Genomic DNA, 20194 nt, shown 5'->3' with positions numbered 1-20194 from the left:
ACCAAAAGAGAGCATGTCCTTTGAAAGGAGGACATGGATGGAGCTGGAAGCCATTATCTTTAGCAAACTAACACAGGAATAGAAAAACAAATACTGCATGTTCTCACTTATAAGTGAGAGCTAAATGATGAGAACACATGGACACATAGAGGGGAACAACACACACTGGGGCCTATCGGGGGTGGAGGGTGGGAGGAGCTAGAAGATCAGGAAAAATTACTAATGAGTACTAGGCTTGATATATGGGTGATGAAATAGCCTGCATAACAAACCCCCATGACACACATTTACCTATGTAACAAATTTAACCCTGAATTTAAAATAAAAGGTTTTTGAAATCCAGATTTCTACCAACATTTAGGTCATGAGGATATATGTATTTTCTAAGAAAATAGAGGCTTTCTCTCCAATATTGTTTTTTCTTTCTGAGACCTCATGAGAATCATCTCTAATAATTCATATTTCTACGAACAGTCCCTTCACAGCAGTCTAGACTTTTACTACCACGAAACTCCAAACCTCTCCACCCTCCTACTCATTACCCATTTCCAAAGCCATGTTAACACATATTTAGATACTTGTTACAGAAACAGCCCACTTCTTCATGCCAAAATCTGTAATATTCTGGGTTCTGTACAGAAACAGAACTGATAAGATAGATGATAGATAGATAGATAGATAGATAGATAGATAGATAAAACTACATACTGCATATATAATTTATTTTTATAATTCTCACCCTGGATTACTGATGTTTCAGATATCTAAATCACAGTGGCATACGTTCATCTGATGCAGTTCTTCATCCTCAGTACCAAATATGCAAAATTAAAAATAGACATGGTGTCTCTATGCAGTAGGCATACATTATATATTTATACTTTATGTATAAAGATAACATAAGGAATTGGCTCACATGATTATGGAGGCTAACAAATCCCACAACCTGTTGGTGGCAAGCTGGAGACCCAGGAGACCTGGTGGTGCACTTCCAATATGAGTTTTAAGTCCTGATAACCATGAGAGCTGATGGTTATTCACAGGCAACCAATGTTTCAGTTTGAGTCCAAAGGCAGGAAAAGCGTAGTGTCCCAGCTCAAGGCGGACAGGCAAGAAAAATACCCTGTTACTAGGGGGAAGGTGAGACTTTTGGTATATTTGAGTGTTCAACAGATTGGATGAGGCCTACTCACATTAGGGAGGGCAACCTGCTTTGTGTGGTCTATCAATTTCAGTGTTACACTCATTCTCAATAACTTCCGTAGGAACACAGAATAATGTTTGACCAAGTATCTTGGAATCCCATGGTCCAGTCATGTTGACAAATAAAATTAATCATCACAGTAGGAGCTGATGTGCTATATGTTTACACTTCCCTATCCTATAAGTGCCAGAGGGGATTCTCCTGCTTAGGAAGAATCACATATAGAAAAGTGCTAGTACCTCTTGGGCCCCACAAATCTAAAGAACCTTTTGAATTGCAAGTTTGTGTGGCATAGTTTTGCAAATTGAAGCCTCTAGCAAAAAGACGCAAAATCGAGCTGGAAGTGTCCTTTAGACTTTTGAATCCTACATCTGACTAATATGACTGCTCCCTGTACTCTTCTTGCAAAGCACCTACTTGGTTGCTACTGGGCTTTTGCTGAAGCTGAAGACTTGATCCACAGAGGCTTTGCAACTCTCCTGCCTGATACTGCCTATCAGGATGAGTCAATGGAGACTCAAGAACTAATAAGGTAGGAAGTCCCCATCTATCTAATTTGTCAAATGGAAATGGTATAGTCCAAAATTCAACTGGTCTAACCCCAATATAATTTTGTCTTTACATGAAAAAGTGGATGTTTTCCCCTTGGGGAAAAGTTTCTCAATTACATGAAGCAAAGCCGCTGGCCCCACTGCACCTTTCATTCATAAGGTATCCCTTAAAAAGGTTGACCTAGATTACTGATGGTTCAGCTATCTAACCTACAATGGTGTGTATTTGTTTGATGTAGCTTTTCATTCTTACCACCAAATATGCAGAACTAAAAACAAATGTGGTATCTCTACTGAGTAGGCATAATTCAGAGCCATTCTCATCACTCTAGCCAGTACTCCCCACCTTTTTTTTTTTTTTTTTTTGAGATGGAGTCTTGTTCTGTTGCCCAGGCTGGAGTGCAATGGTGTGATATCTGCTCACTGCAACCTCCACCTCCTAGGTTCAAGTGATTCTCCTGCCTCGGCCTCCTCAGTAGCTGGGATTACAGGTGCCCACCATCACACCTGGCTAATTTTTGTACTTTTAGTAGAGGCGGGGCTTCACCATATTGGCCAGGCTGGTCTCTAACTCCTGACCTCGTGATCTGCCCACCTCGGCCTCCCAAAGTGCTGGGATTACAGGCATGAGCTATCGCTCCCGGCCCAGAACTCCCTTTGATAAACATTGTTATATTTTTACTGAGTATTGGTCTGTTGTTAGTAGCCTAGATGTTTACTCTGACACTTAGAAAACTACAAACTAGCAGATTAAAGACTGAAGCTGTAAACTGTAGAAACAAATGGCTGTTAATTAAACAATCTGAGTAATTCATCTAGAGACCAACTGGAATCAAGCTGCTGATCATGCCTGTACCACCCAAATTACTATCACTGCTAACTAAATCCATTACTGCACTAGACATGGCAATACATCCGCCATTATAAAATGTATGCAAAATAAATGGCTTTGTTTCTGTCACAGAGGCTACCACTTAATGCCAGATATGTGAGTCTGGCCAAAAGTCACTCATTTCTTTCCTAGTGAGGAATACCAATTTCAGAGCATTATACCAATGTAGATTGACTACAGTGAACCCTTCAAGTCCTCTCATTGCTCAGTAACTTGCAGTAATTCACCACTGTTGACCATTTTTCATTTATGATGTTGCTATTTGAATCCAATCAGTTGATTCCCACCCCGATATCAGGGTCCTTGAAGCAAATCCATATTGTGTTCTTGGCTGTGTGGCACATTTTCATTTAGGCATCCTTTATTGTAAAAGTCACTTAAAAATGTTATTTCATGTTAATCACTTCTTAGGTAATGATTTGGACAAAAGGGATGAGGGAATAATATACAGACCAATTTTGAATATTTGGGATTCTGCACAGAATATTGTCAAGCATGATGTTTCTTTTGTTCTCCTAAAGGGAACCCCAGACTGGCCTGTTATTATACTCTCTATTAACCTGATGAACAAAGAATCTTAGGAGGTGCAAGTATATTCTGGTTCAGCCACACTGGGTTCTCTTATTGGTTTGGCATTGTAATAGTCAGAATTCTTCAGAGCCAGAACCAATAGGAGATAGAAAAATAGATAGATAGTTGAATAGGTAGGTAGATAGATAGATAGAGAGATAGATAGATAGATAGATGAGAGGCGGTTATTAGAGGAATTGGCTCACACTATTATAGAGGGTGAGAAGTCCCACAACAGGCTGTCTGCAAGCTGGGATGCTGATTGTGTGTCTCAGTCCAAGTATAAAAGTCTCAGAACCAGGGAAGCCAATGATGTAATTCTCAGTCTGAGGCCAGAGGCCTGAGAACCTGGAGAGCCCCTAGTCTAAGTCCTGGAGTCCAAAGACTGAAGAGACTGGAGTTCTAATGTCCAAGGGCAGGAAAAAAAAAGGGTGTTACATCAACAGGAGAGAGAGATAGAGAGAGACAGAGAGCACTATAGAGTGGAAATTGTCTTTTCCCTGCCATTCTGTTCTATTCAGCCCCGCAGCTTATTGTGCTGCTGGTAGGCCAGTTCAGGTTCTTGACTTTGCTGCACCTAAGAATTTGAGAGCAAGTCCAAAGTAAGAGTAAGCAAAGAAGTTTACTGCAAAGCAAAAGTACACTCTGAGAGGCAAGAGTGGGCTGCTCAAAGGGAGAGACAGCAGCTAGTGCCTTAAGGGGAATCTCTTTTTATGGTAGCTGTATATACATATTCATAAAATACTGGCAAGGTCAAGTATGCAAAGGCGGACCTGCAGTTGGAACATGTGCTCGGCATCTACATGCTCTAACATGTAACATATGTATCATTAGCATATAAAATCTCCACCTAGTGGTGTGTTTTTTACTATTCAAATGAGGAAAAGCTTACTATAAGCTAAACCTTGAGCCTAGCTGTGCATGTGGGACCCCAGGGAAGTCTCTAGCCCCCAAATGTTGGAATTTGTAGCTAATACCTTCTTTGGCTTTTAGTGCTGATGGACTGGTGATTGGGGAAGTTACATCAGGAATAAGGGGCTTTTGTTCTTTCCTGGGCCATACTGGGTATCAGGGACCTGTAACCATCTGGCTGTCTGCCGGTATCCTTCCTGTAGGGTTACTAACCTTGCAAAAAATTGGGTGGTCATGCATGAGGGTGCAAGGGATGCAGAGCCTGCTGGGCTTCACACAAGGGGACAAGCCAGTTTGGCCTCCTAACCTTATTTATCCTGACTCAATTGGATGGTGCTGCCTACCTTGACAGCAGATTTTCCCCATTCAATCTACCAATTCACATGCCAGTCTCCTCTGGAACCACACTCACACATACACTCAGAAGTAATGCTTTACCAGCTCTCTCTGTCTTCCTTAATCCAATCAAGTTTGCACCTAAAATTAACCATCACAGATATCATCCTAGATCATAATGCCCATTACCATTTAGTTGAATTTACTGCTTGCTATTTTTTCCTACTGTGGCCCATACAGGTCAAAGTGGGGGACACAATATGTCCTTGTAAGTTTTTAAAAATTATTCTTATACCTGACTCTGTGTAAAAGGTCTGGCTATGACTATGGAATATTGGTGAAAAGATGAAGTTATGGCTATTGGAATGGGGTGCACTATTTTTGAGGTAGCGGAGAGAGAGCAGTAATGCAGAACCTGGTGAGAAAATAACTTAGTTTCCACCAGGTACAGGAAGGTAGGGAGGGACATTAGTGGTCTTTCTCTTTCTAAACTGTTCCTAGAGCTTTCTTCATGAAGGAAACATGCCTAAATGCATCTCTACTAAACATTACTAGTGTGTTAATTTAAATGACTGCTGTATCTACTATTCCCTGCCGAAGACTTTCACCACAATTTGAAAGTCCGCTTAAATGTAGAGATAAGTCAGTCAAAAACAGCAGGAAATGTCCCCAGCTCCTGCACCTCCCATGAAAAACATCTGTCAACACGTCTGGATATATTTTCCACCCCATTTATACATTCTCTGCCTAGACGCTCCATAGAGCAGATGAATACCACCTGGCTGGTGGCATGGTCGAACCATTTAGTTTGGCTCCAGGCATTTCTCCTTAAAAAAAGAATCAGACCCAGAAAACCCAGAAACCCAGTTTCTTTAAGCTGACAGAAAATCGTCACACGTGTTAGCTGAACTTGAGGTCACACTGGAGTCAACATTTTCATTCCATAGATACACCATTTGCATCCCCAGAGACTGAACTTGTATGAACTCAGGCATTACTTGCTTCCTAACCAAATGATAATGACTTGCCTTCTAGTGGTGGTCATAAGGTATCTTCAAGTTATTAAAAGAAACATCATCCTGAAATTGAAAAGCATTCAGGTCAGCCTGAAAATTATTGGCCAAGGTTGTTATAAGTGGTAGAATTGCCCTAGAATTCTTCCTTGTGTTCTAGTAGAAGCTATGTAATCATGAATACATCTTGCTCTGCTTGAATTAATGTTTCCAGCCTAGCAGAAATGTCAATGCAGAAACTTATAGAGACTGGCACTTAGCTTCCTTTCTAAGGTCATAACGTTTAAGGAATTTTGTTCAGCTGGTTAAGTCTGGGCTTCTAAAGGGCATGGGTTGATATCTATTGTGCAGGCTGACATCATCATTCTGCTTTGAGTCATGTTGTTAGCTGCTTAAGTAAATTCTATATGAGACAAACTGGAAAGATTCGATGCCAGTGTCTGTCAGTAAGATTAATTTAACTGGTGATTAATTTGACAATGTATTCATGGGAAAAATTTCCAGGAGCCAAGATGTGAAAATGAGGGGTGGATAATATTGGAAGAAGATTCTCTATGAATTTTTCACATTTCTGCATGTCTTCTGAGCAACAACATTGACTGCCTTTATTCGGAACTATCTTTCCAAGGATATTTTTTGTAGTAACAGACTTTGGAAGATAGCCTTCCTCTGGGGCAAAGGGAATGTGTGCTTGTGCCTATTATAAAGGTATCAGGTTCCCTTAGCTTGGAAAGATCTACTGTAGTAATAGAACCTACTGTATGTGCAGCTGTCAATATGAAAATGTGGAAATTCTGGCTACTGCTACTGCTGTGATGATACTCTGATCTTTTTATCTAACTCAGAAGTCTGGAGTCTTCTGTCAGCAACCGTCAAATTGTGGCTAACAGCCTAAAAGTAGAGTAAAATCTTAGTAAAAAATTATGCTTATTGCCTTATAATATACATTGTCTGCTATTAGACAATGCATTTAATTTTTATTTTCAAGTTGCATTTTTTTATCTTTTCCTTCTCAACTTTTCTTAATCCTTGAATATAAGTGTTTCTTATAAACAGCTTATGATTGAGGATTTTCTTTGTCCTATCTGACTGTCTTTATTTTTTCATTGATGTTTATAGTCTGTTTACATTTAATTATCTATATAGTGGAGTTAATATCTAGCTTCTTATTATATCATGTAAATATTTTTATAATTAATATTCTAACATTAATATTAGCATATTATAATTAATATTCTACTTTATAATTATTAGTTTACTTTTTTATAAATGCAAGGTTTTATTATTTTTTAATCTGAACAATCATGTTTTTAATTTCTAGGAACATTTTATGTATTTTTAAAATACACTTTTTTATTATACAGTCAAGACATTATTAAAAGGAATCTTAGAATCACTACTTGCATGACACAATAGCATCAACTATGATATTGTTTAGAAATAATCAGAGATATATAAGCCCAAATATATGAACAGTTATCAATTGAATAGGAATTATTAATTGCATATAAGTTCAATTGAATATGAGTTATCGATTGGAAATAATTTCAATTCAAACCTTAGCATTGATTAATTAACATACTTTATTATTGATTTTCAGGTATTATACCTAATTTTTTAAATAGCAAAACTAAGCTTCCAAAAATTATGGAAATAACAAATTAAGAAATTGTGAGAATCAATTGTTAAAATTTATATCTTAACTTTTTCAGCCTACAAAGTCTAACTCAACTTTAGTCTGACTTTTAAAAATATTACTAGGGAAGACAGTAAAAGGATAAAAATGAAATGTTCCACCTACATAAAAGAATAATGTTACGAAACATTAAATCTGTCGCAGTTGAAAACACATTTGTGGGAGGAACACTTACAGTAGAGTTAACCAGACTGTTTCCTCTTTTTTTCTTCGTTTAGGTTGAGTTTTTATGAGAGTAAAGTTCATAAAAGAGCCAATGGACCAATAAATGGCACTTACGGGTAATCAAATGCTATAGTGAAGGCAAGGTATTTGATTACCTTAAAAGTTATTCTACAACATACTGGACATTACTCCTTCTATAAAAGTTGATTTTGATTTGATAATGAATACTGTTTTTAACCACATGAGAGTTACAAAATAAAAGTTTTTGCTTTCACTTTTATTGCCAGTCTGTCTTGACACTTGCTATTCAAAATAGAATCCATAGTACCAGCAGCATTGTCATCACATGGAACTTATTAACAATGAAAATATTAGGCTTCCCCTTAGAATTACAGAGTGAGATTACACATTTTAATACAATCCCAAATGTATTTTCGTGCACGTTAAAATATGAGAAATATTGGTCTGAATAAGTCAAAGACATCTCCAAACAGTGGAAAAGAGAGAAAATAAGAGGAATGCATTTTTAACATTCATCAAATTACAAAATAAAAATTTTTGAAAACTTATTTTTCCTAAATCTGTTGTGAAAATGTGGTGATTATTATTTTGTCCTTTAATATTTTTCAGGAAGTTTTATAGAAGCAATTTTGTGAAATATACATTATTTTACAAGTAAATAGCCAATACTGAGAAAAGTACATGGAAGGTACCCAGCAATACATTTACTTCCACACCTTAACCTTATCCCTCTCAAAACTTTTCAGTAATGAGATAAAATTTCAAGGGTATAAATTCTTTGTGAATTGCGATGCAAGTAGTGGTTTAAATTGCATTGTATATAATTTATGATGAAAAAAAGTCTTATAAAGAGTTATTTGATCCCTGTGTTGTATTTTTACTCATTTTTTGGGGAAAAAATTACTTCTAATGACTCTTAAAATGCATATTTGTAAATATATACAGGCAGAGCTTATAGTCAACTGGTAAACACTGTTAATAGCCTATGACTAAATGATCATTCACTTTTCATGTTATACCAGTTGTTCTAATATCACTCCTGTTTTTAGGGAAAAGGTATTTATCTAATATTTTTTGAGAATTACTCTCTAACTGCTTTTTGCTATCCATAAAATGTGTTAATATCTATCTCTGCCTGTCAGAAAGTACAATATATGAAGAAAAGTATTTTTGTATTTTTTGTACTGTAACTCTAGGACTTAGATTATCAGTAAATATTAGTTGAATGAAGAAAATTTCTCTACAAATAATTTTTTTAACAATGCACTCAAAATTAAAATTGATCACAATAAATTATAGCATTGGTTGAAACCAACAAAATTAAAATTCATTTAGTTTGTTTTTTAAAAAATATTTCCACAAAAGTGTACTTGAGCTACTATTTTGCAACAGTATTAGTGAGCCCTTAAATGCCCCTACATTTTAGTAAAGTGCACTTTATGCCTATATTATTATCTTCTGAATTTACGTTATGCTTTTAGAAAGATATATATCCATGACCCAACATTTTCATCTAGTAGGAAATATCCTTGAGTAGTTAATTATTTGATACAAGAAAACAAATTATGAAACAGAAGTATCTGTTTCTGTATAACAAAAACACAAACTGACAACCAAGGTATAACTATAAAGAAAAATAGTTAAATAATATATAGCTTACATACTGATCAAGTCTAATTTATGGGAAAAATATAGTTATAAGTAATCTAGGAAGTATTTTTAAAATAATGTTAATCAAAAGGGAAGAATACAGAAGTATTGCATGAATTCTGAACATATATGCATGCAAGTATGTGTATATGTGGGTATTCAAAAGAAAAAAAATTGAGATAGAACAAAGGAGATACATGTAAATTTGTTAGTTTCAAGTTTTTAAATGACATTTATATATTGTTGAAAATGAACAGAAATGGCAAGTGTGATGGGCATATTTGTAAGCTGAAGGACACAATTAGTATTATTATAAATTATGTCCATATAAAAAAGTATTATTACATGAGAAATTTTATTCTGGAGGACATAAGTGAAGATTTTATAGAAAATATGATAATCTGATATCCATTTTCAAACATAAAAAACCAACATGGGAAAAGGGTTTAGAAGTAGACTAAAGAGCAAAATTAGAAACAAACTTGCTGAGAGTCAGTGTTAAGACATTAATAACAGGGGATGCTTGGTGTAATGTTAAACATTTAAATAAAATCTGTCTTTAGAATATGTAATGAACTGAAACAGTAAGTACTCTGTAAGTGGGAGGGTATAATGGTCTTTGGATCACCTATTTATACTTTTACTTTCAAAGATTCCTTAATTCAATTCTCTGGACATTGGGCTCTAAGTATGTAAACTCTAATAGTTCTCTGGTTCTGATGACATCTATGCTTAGACAAGAGCTCACTGGAGCTGTACAAAAATTTGAGTATTATACAAGAATATTTAATTATGTACAGAAAGGCAACATAAAAATTATTACAGAATTCTAAAACTGAAAGGAAATTTACTTAGTGTTTCAATCAATCCCATAATTCTACAAGGAAAAAAAACTGAAGTTCAAAGATGTTAAACTTATTCTAATTAAATCAACAGATGTTATGTTGTCTATCCAGCACCTGCATAAGGCAATTTTAAAACATCTGGCAATTGAGATAAACTATTTAATGGAGGTCTTCACTAGCAATCTTGCTAGTCCTTAATTTCTATCCATGTATTAACTTAAAACATCAGAAACCAAAGTACCCAGAACCTATTATCTCAGCATCTTTCAGACATGCTATAATGGAGACAGTTAACTCTATTTAACAATCTCTTGATGATTTTTCTTTCTGGCAGGTTCCATACTGGACATGGTAAACACAGTGGTAAACACAGCAGTCACAAGCCCTTTCTTCACGTGGTATGGGGTCTAGACAAATGGCCAAAATACAGGTATAGAGAGAGTAATTATAAGTAAAATAAGCATTACCAGGTCAAATTATATGACACTAGAGAGTATGTGATGAGGGCAAGTAACCTATCTGAGACTGGGAGTAAGGAGGAAGCAGAAAATTTTAGGCCGAGAAAACATGGGTGGTGTCATTTCAGAACAATTGGGCTGTTGGCATAGGTAATATACTTCAAGTTTACAAAGCCTTCAAGGTTTTAGAGAGGGAAATCTATGTCAGCATTATATTTGTATATAATTTCAGTGACTTTGCCAAGTTGTGGCTACTATTTCCTTAATTCACGATTTTATAAACTGTGAGCTCAGGTTACATCTGCCTTACTCTTTGGCAATATGCCCAAGTCTCTAGGATAGTGGGGCTCCTAAGTGAATGAATACCAAGTACTGAATATAATTTTTTTTTTTTTTGCTGGCAAAGGTGTGAAAGAGACTTAAGTTTTTTAAAGTTCTCTTTAATTGGACTCTACTCATTAATGGAAAGGAACTAATTTGAAACTTGTTTATTTAAGCAAAGTGACTGATCTTTCAAAAAGAACCACAATTCACAATATATGTGAACATTAAAAAGTAACCAACAAGAAATATCCCTTCAACATATCTTTGAACAAAATGTTCGTTATAAACAACATGTGAGATATACACACTTAAAGGATAGTTTCACAGCACCACATAATTTTACACTGTACTGAGTATCTGTGGCTTTTCATATGTAACTATAATGCCCAATATAATTTCACATACATTATTGAAACAGAAAAATTGTTGATATGTCTGTCAAATTGTAGATTCTCTATTATAATTCCCATTTCATCACTTCAAAGATACCCCATGCAAGACTAAAGTAAGGAGATACATGATTAATAATGCAGATAGAACCATGTATGATGAGAATAGGTATGATTAAGAACTTGAACGTGGTGAATTATGTACTTAGATATTTAAGTGGTGGGAGAATCTTCTTATACTTTTGCATGGATGGGCACTAAATTATATGGAGTAGGAAGAAAATGCTTTGAGGCCTTATACACGTCAGTTATTTCTACAGCCTCACTAGAGCAAGTATCAAGTAATTTACCTACCCTTTGTTATGCTGTTTGGATGTAGTTTTTCCAAAATGACATCTGAATATCATTAAGTATGAAATACTTAGCAGGGGTTCCTTTCATATTTTCACACTCTTTCGCTATCCTTGAGAGATCAGAAGGCAGAGTTTAGTGTATCAACCAACAGAATATGTGGGAGGTGGGAGGATTAGAAGGAGGAGGATGTTTATATAAATATGGAACCATCCATATGTTTGGCCCTGTTTTTTTTTTAAAGTGCTCAATGAAATGTATTTAAAAGGGGAAGTTCAAATCCCTTTTCATGGCATTCTGTGAGTATGATATCTTTTCCAGTATAGGGAATGTACAATACCCAAATTTTTGTACAGCTCCAGTGAATTTTTTATCTGAGACTAAGAGTAGGTGCCTTATAAACATAGAACTATTAGAGTTTACACATTTTGAGCCCAATGTCCAGATAATACAATGAAATAAATTTTGAAATACAAAGCACTATGTAATCATAATTCAGGTTTCCTTTTGTTACTTTTATTATCTTTACCTTACTCCTATAATTAGGCAGAGATAGGGGAAGGTGGACCTGAAATATGGTGTGTAAACAAATTAAATATATGATGGCAAAATCAAAATGTTTCAAGTTTTTAAGAAGACAGGAAAACCTTCTTTATTTAAAAACATGAAGACCATAAGCTATAGCTTATATTATTATGTTATTACATTATATTATTATGTTAACAACCAACATAAAAATATACCAAAAAACAAGGCAAAATATAACATGATAACCCCAATTTATTGTTGTAAGAGAGGTGAAATTTAAAAAAATGACCTAAGAACACAGATTATGTGACTTCTAATTTTGACTTAGGTGGCTTGATCTTTAGTCATCTTGATAGACAAATTTTGGAGAGATTTTCATTAAGCTCTTGATTTACTGTAATTATTAAACTAGCACTCTATGAGTGTTTCTAGAGAGACTGTGTATTGTATCGGTGCATTTTCACACTTCTACAAAGAACCTGCGATGGGGTAATTTATAAATAAAGGAAGTTTAATTGACTCACAGTTCCACATGACTGGGGTGGCCTCAGAAAACATAATTATGGTGGAACGTGAAGGAAAAGCAAGCATCTTCTTCACAAGGTGGCAGGAGAGAGCACAAGAGAGGCAGGAACTGCCAAACACTTTTAAACAATCAGATCTCATGAGAACTCACTATCGCGAGAAAACTCTGGGGAAAACCACTTCCATGATCCAATCACCTCCCACCAGGTACCTCCCCTGACACATGGGGATTACAATTCTAGGTGAGATTTGAGTGGGGAAAAAGACTCAAACCATATCATGTATGATATTCATGCCTGATCCTTATAAAGTTATATTTCTTTTTAATTAGTAAATTTGTTTCCTAAGAGATTTAAGAGATTCAATATCTTAATTTCTTTTGAGTTAGATCAGAGCCAATCATTCTCTTTTAATCCATTCTACTCTGGCTATTGATGAAGTAAGGCACATGTCCTAGAATGGACAGACCCCACAACCTTTCTTTATTGACATCAGAATTTGCTATTAACATTATTTTACAGGAGAAATTACTATAAAAGTTTTCCAGCTTCTCCTCTACAAGGCTTCTGTTATTTCTCTAATTTTTATTTGTTCTCATTTTCTCCTTTTTTCCATTTTTTGATAAATGAATAAAAATAATGATGTAAAAGAATATTGTTGTGGAAAGTGTGTACAAAAGGAAGAGAACAAGAGCAAGTCCTTTTGCTTATTTTAAAACCCAATCTGTACTATATTTCCATTTCTATGTAAAATAGAATAATCCTAGTAAAGTATCTGATTTTGTGAGTGGTAAATGTAGATAATATTAGGCAGAAGCAATCCCAGAAAGTCAGTAATATCAATATCCTGTATCATGGTACAATTGTCAAATTGTTTCAAAACATATCAAATTTTATCTTTATTATATCTTTATGGGATATGAAAGACAATTGTTATACCTATTGTTCATATAAGGAAGCAGTTGCAGAAAGGTAAATTACTTCCGCAACAGCTTCAAGGAAGCCTGCTTCAGGGGCAGGAAAAGAGTTTTAAGGCTTTTAATCCTAGTCCCGTGCACTGCTTTCTTCTGAGGATCTAGAATTCATATTTTAAATAGTGGAATATGTGTTGACAATCAAGAAGCAACACTAACTTCATCGTTTCTAACAACCAGTAGTGCATGAGTTAATTTCCACTAAGGCATTGCAGAACACTGGCTGGACAAGTCATTCAACAATGGCCAGAAAAACGAACCAAGGGATGGACCATATGCATGATAGAAATGACTCCAGGTCAAACATCTGCTTTTTCAGACATACTCATACATGCCATCTGTGGAACTGCTTTTTGACTTGCAAGGATAGGATTGCAGTATATCTATATAATGTAGTTACATACATTTATGTAAAGTTGTATAAACCATGTTGTAGCCATATTAATTAGTCATAGCAGATTTTAATATTTGTGGTTTGGGCACATTAGTTGGTATCCATGTAATATTTTTAATATGAAGATTTATTTACATCACATTCCTCCTTCTTATGAGGAAAATACTAAGAACTATGAAAAACTGTGAGCCACTATAATAACATTATAACACTGTATTAGTCCATTCTCACCGCTGCTACGAAGAACTGCCCAAGGCTGGGTAATTTATAAAGAAAAGAGGTTTGATTGATTCACAGATTCACAGGCCTGGGGAGAACTCAGGAAACTTACAGTCATGGTGGAAGAGGAAGCAAACACATCCTTCTTTACGTGGCAGCAGGAAGGAGAAGTGCAGTGGGAAGGGGGAAAAAGCCCTTTATAAAACCATCAGATCTCGTGAGAAGTCACTCACTATCATGAGGACAGCAGGGGGGAACAGCCTTCATGATCTACTCACTTCCCATGAGGTCCGTTCTTCAACAAGTGGGGATTACAATTCGGATTACAATTCAGTATGAGATTTGGGTGGGGACATAGAACCAGACCATATCAAACACTAACCTGATTAAAGAAAGAAATTCTCTGGAGACTCGCAGGTACAGCTCTAACTCAAAATTTCCTTTCATTATCTAGCTTTTTTCCCCCTGAATTGTATGTTACTCATCTGACATTCATACCAACTGTTCTTGGCAGAGTGCGCTCAAAGAAATTTGTCTATGTAATTAACAATATCTTGTCAATGTAGCACATTTGTTTAGTCAGTGTACCAATAAGTAAAGAAGAGTAGAATTTTTTTTCTCTCGTCATTTAGCCCCCACTTATAAGTAAGAACATGTGGTATTTGATTTTCTGTTCCTGTGTTAATTTGCTAAGGATAATGGCTTCCAGTTCCTTAAAAGCTAAACTGCTCTGGCTTCTTAACATATTCAGATAAATTCTCACTGATGAGATAAAAGAAATGGGACATCTGACTAGTAGAAAGGAGAGCAGAAACAATAAATTAAACTAAAAGGTAACACTAGTGGACAAGAGAAGAACAGAGAACTTTTTCTGAATGTTCTTTCTGGATATTTTCAGGACGGTGCAGAAATAATTACAATTTTTGCCATTAATGCACCAAAATGATACTTCAATGGAATTAGTCACTCCTCTGCTTTCCCTAATTATTAATCAAATTTGATAATCCTAGGACGTTAGGTAACAACACTGCCTTTCCATGTTTTCTTTGCAATTAATATAAACACCTTTAACTCAGTAATGGAAAAGAGCATGGCATTTAATGGGCAGGACCTCTGAAATAATCTCCTTCATACTTCTCAAAATGATCAGATTCATATTAAGATTAAGAGAAGAAAACAGTAATACATATATTTATTTAGCTCTAAATTGCTGAGATAGAAAATTTTACCTTTCAAGCTAAATTTTTAGTAATTGCACACAGATGCTGAAATTCTATTTCAATAAGCAAATGAATCCCCATTTCACAATGCATTTCATACCTCTTAGATGAACTTAATAATCAAAGGTAAATGAGAAGATAAGGAGAAAAATTAAAAAAAAAAATTTACACAAGAGCCAGAATTTAATCATTGTACAAGACACATCTATTGCCTCTCCTCTGTGAATGTTGGAAGACACAGGTGGTTAATACACACACAAATTTTATAGTAATTATAATGTTCTATTTTTAAGGACCCACTATATAAATATTATTTAGGTAAATTATTATTGCAGTGTGATATCCATGTAATAACATATTTTAGTTGCCTCTAATGTATTTACTGTTCACAAAAATTCTAAGTTAAAAATATATTGCTACAAACAGATGTTATATATAATTAGAAGGTAGATTAAATGAAAATACAAATGTCATTTATTTATATAGGTGACACAGTTTGAGAATAATAATTGACATAAATGGATGTTTGTTAGGGATAGTAATTCATTATATAATTCCATTAATATTTTCACAAAATATGTTTGTTGTTTTCAGAGAATGTAAAGCCTCGATTGTAGATGTCTATAGATGAATGGGGTTTATTGAAGCAAAATAGAGACAGGAGGACCAGTTTCAGTAATGGGCAAATACAAAATAAAAATCAACCAAAGAGGAATTAGTATAAAACCCAAAGTTAGATTAAAATGTTGAGGTTTTAAAAAGCAGAACCTAAAACAATATTAAGCACAGAATACAAAGAAAATATACTATTTAACCAAAAACGAATAGCACCTAGACTTCTTGGGAAATTTTTGTGTAGGTCTTTGAAGGTGTGAAATTGTAGGACATCTATCTGGTCTATCTGATGGGAAATCCATGGTATTATTGTTCATTTGTCTTAACTGAAGATTAGATGTTGTAGGAACATGCTAGAAAAAATGTGGATGATCATTTTCATTTTCAGCCCACATTCAGGATTTTAATTCTTTCTTAAGTTTCTTTTTTTCCTTGGAATTACTTGTATACTTGCCTGCCATTACCGATTAGTAGCTGGAAATAATATTATATGTATTTTAGTAGCAGAAACATGTTTTTTTTTCCTTATATACAACACACAGATACATGAATACTTTACCGACACACACACACACACACACATACACACACATAAACACACACAGCTTAAAGTAGGATTTTGCCTTAAAAAGTGCCTGATATATATTTGATGAAATAATGAAAGAATAAAACCACAGACACTAAATGTTCAATAATTTTAAGATAAATATATATATATATATGTATACTTGACAAGTTGAAAATTGTCAAAAATGTTTTGAAACTTCTCCATGTCAGCATGTGTTGTAAAAATATATATAAATAATAAAGGCTAATATATATTATTGCAATGAACCATGTCCTCTTCAAAGTGTTTTACAATCATTAATCCTTTTCTGTTTGTTGCAACCATACTGAGCAGGTACTAATGCCATACTCATGTTACAAATAAAGAAACTAGGAAACGAAGAATTTCAAAAAGTCCCAAGGTCACAAAACAAGGAAGTCATAGAGCTTGCACTTGGTGACATATTATTTTATATCAGAACACAAAAATCTTAAAAATTATGCTAGATTAAAATTAATTTATAGTAAATTTCATTGAGCTAACAATAAAATCTGACTTGCTTTAAAAAAGCAGCAATTAGTAATATTAGTAAATATTAAAATGAGCTATATTTTGAGTAAATATTAATTCATTCAAAAATAATATTAATTTATTAATTAATATGGAGTTATACTTTTGAGTAAATATTAAAATGACCTGTTTAGTAAAGGAAGTTGTTGGAAAAATAGAAATAAATAAATAATATTTAATACTCTTTTTAGGAATAAGCAAAATGAAGTATATCTCAGGAAGTAATAAACAAGAGGAACATGATCTCAAAAATAGTTCATTTTTTAAATAACCACCTGAATGTGAGCTAATTTCAAACAATTTGCACAAACTTGCAAAAAACAAAATAAGCCGAAATATCATGTGAAAATTCAGAAATGCAAAAGGAATTAACATCGAACAAAAATTCCAATTTCTTTGAAAGTATGTCAAATTGTCTATAAAGCCATGGGAATCATTATAAAAATCACAATCACAACTCTTATGCTTGATTAAAATAAAAAGGTCAATATGAGTTGTTTTGAAATGTTTTCATTAGGGAAAATGATATGAAAGCAACCTTAATTTGAAAGTGCAAATATACAGAGTACATTTAGTGATTTATAATACATAATTTGTCTGAAAATAACTCAAGCATATAAGATAACCATGTACAATTTTTATCTACATGGTGATGAGAAATGATAGTTATTTCTCCTCGTAAAATTCTTTGGACTCATACAGTACTTTGAAAATGTGTTACGTTTTTAAAATCTTATTCTTTATATTTATGAAAATAATGTTTTATAGCAGAACTTGGTTTCTTGAAATGACATATTCATTATATTTCATGATTATTGCCCATACATATCAATAGATATTGAAATATTCCAAAGGCACTTACAAAGACTCTTCTTTTTTATACAGGTTTTCTAAATTTAAAGATTAAAAGAAGAAGAGAGATCTTCCCTGTTTTTACTGATTAGTGAATATAATTTTTAGGATTTCCAATGAAAATTTTTGGTTAAATTTAAGTATTTATTAGGAAAAATAACAGATTTTAATAAAACATTATAGAAAATAAGAATTTTTAGAATTATGTCTACCTAATTTCCAAAGCCTTTGTAAATTAGAAAACTGTTTAAAAATCTTTAGGAACAGTAATCCTTTTGTCATCATCTACATTATTTATTTGAATTTCATAAATTCATATTTCTTATTTAACCTTCATGCATTTACTTAACCTTCAAAGCATTTACTGCTTTGTCAACAAATGCGCATTGAGTGTCTGCGTTGTTCCGGGAACTGTTTATGTTCCAGGGTTGTAGTAGGGAATAAAACAAAGTCCCTGCTCTTATTGACTAGTGTTCTACTAAGGGGAGATAAAAAGTAAACAGCAAACATATAACATGTTAAGTAATAGCAAGTGCTTTGAGGAAAATAAATCAGTTTAAGGGATATTAATGGATGAAGGTGAGTGCCATTTTGGAAGAGCTAATAAGGATATGTCTCTCTGATAAGACAATCTTTTAGTACAGAACTGAATGAAATAAGGGGCAAAATATGTAAGGAAGAGAGAGCAGGTGTAAAGGCCCTCAGGTGAGTATTTTGCTTGCTAAAACTCAGCAAAACAGCAAGGAGACCTGCATGGTAGAATAAAGTAGTAAAAAGAACCAAAACAGATTAAGCGCTTAGAAATCAGTTGCAAGATAACCTGGGGTCTCTTTACTTTGCTTTATATTAAATTTTTAAAAATAAATTCAAACTTACAGAAAAATGGCAAAAATAAAAACATGAAAAAAATAACCATGTAGCCTTTACTCAGATTGACCTATTATCTACATTTTACACCATTTGCTTTATTTGTCCTGGCCTCCTTACCTCCGTGTGTGTGTGTGTGTGTGTGTGTGTGTGTAACTGTGTCTGTGTGTATTTTCTCCTAAGTCATTTGAGAATGAATTACAAACATTGCAGCTCTTTACTCCTATTCTTCAAGATGAATTTTCTTAGGGACATTTTCGTACATTATCAGAGTACAGTTTTCAATTTCAGTGGATTTAATATCAATACAATACTATCATCTATTTTTATTTCAATTTTGCAAATTGACACAATAATGCCCTTCTTTGCATTTTTTAAATCTCCAGTACAAGATCCAACAAAATTTGGGTATTGCATTTAGCCGCCATAACATTTTAGCTTCCTTTCATCTGAAATATTTACATAGGCTTTCTAGTTTATGACATTGATATTTCTGAAGAACATACTTCTCTTATTCCTTGCTCTTTTAAAAGAATATAACTTTTATTATTTGGGGTTTGTCTGTTGTTTCTCATAATTAGAAAGAAGTTATGAATTCTCAGCTGGAATACTACACAGGTAATGTTTGGTCCTTATAAGTGTTCCGCATCAGAAGGCATATAGTGTACATAGATCCCTTAGTGGCAATGTTCCTTTTAATTACTTGAACAGGTCAATTTTCCCCACTGTATAGTTACTTCCCCCTTTGCAATTAATAAACTGTCTGCTAAAAAACATTTTCAGGCCATGCAAATATCTCACTGCTCTTAAAAAGCTCCTAGATTTCCAATCCACTGATAATTTTTGGCTGATCCAATCTTGATTATGTATTATAGATTTATTACCACATCAACCAGCCAATATTTGACTTTCTAGTATAAGCAAGAGAACTGCCTCTCTTCGTTGTTATTTATAAATGATCATTTTATATGTATAGGCCTTTGCATTAATTTTTTCAATTTTATTATGATTATTACTTTACTAGTTATCTTGATGCTTAATACATTTAATATTTTGGTGCTAAGGTTGCCGTGGATTTAGCCCAGTGGGTTCCCATTCAAGCTCCTGTATGCTTGTGACTGTCTTAACTAAACTTCATAACTTCCTAGCATAACAAGACATTCCAGGATCTTATTCCTGGCCTGTCCTAGTTCTAGAATCAGCCATTTCTCCAAGGAGCCCTCGTTTCTTTCCCTAGAAAATGTTAAGAGAATAAATTTTAGTCACTAGTTGTGCTCATTTCTGTGAGGGTGCCTCTGTGGCTGGGCTCTTTCATCAAACGGATCTATGACTTCTGTAATCTTCACCTGCAGTTTGTAAGAGTGCCTGTTTCCTACAACCTCACTAACAGAGTATTTTATTAAGCTTTCCAATTTTTTCAAACTGTTGAGAAATGGCATCTCAGTACAGTCAAATTTGTGTGTCTATTACCATGAGCAAAATGAAACATCTTTTCACGTGTTTAAGG

The 20194-nt window shown here is 34.0% G+C and overlaps 1 protein-coding gene across 9 annotated transcripts in view; it reads left to right on the top strand.

The window, feature by feature from the left end:
- The window catches only part of CSMD3 (CUB and Sushi multiple domains 3), a 1214012-nt gene that overhangs the window by 196744 nt on the left and 997074 nt on the right, over nucleotides 1-20194 (top strand). The gene's annotated exons all lie outside the window — the stretch shown is intronic.

This window comes from Homo sapiens, chromosome 8, assembly GCF_000001405.40.
Source record: "Homo sapiens chromosome 8, GRCh38.p14 Primary Assembly".
NCBI lineage: Eukaryota > Metazoa > Chordata > Mammalia > Primates > Hominidae > Homo > Homo sapiens.
The sequence above is the reverse complement of the archived record's forward strand: the minus strand, read 5'-3'. Positions and strand labels throughout refer to the sequence as shown.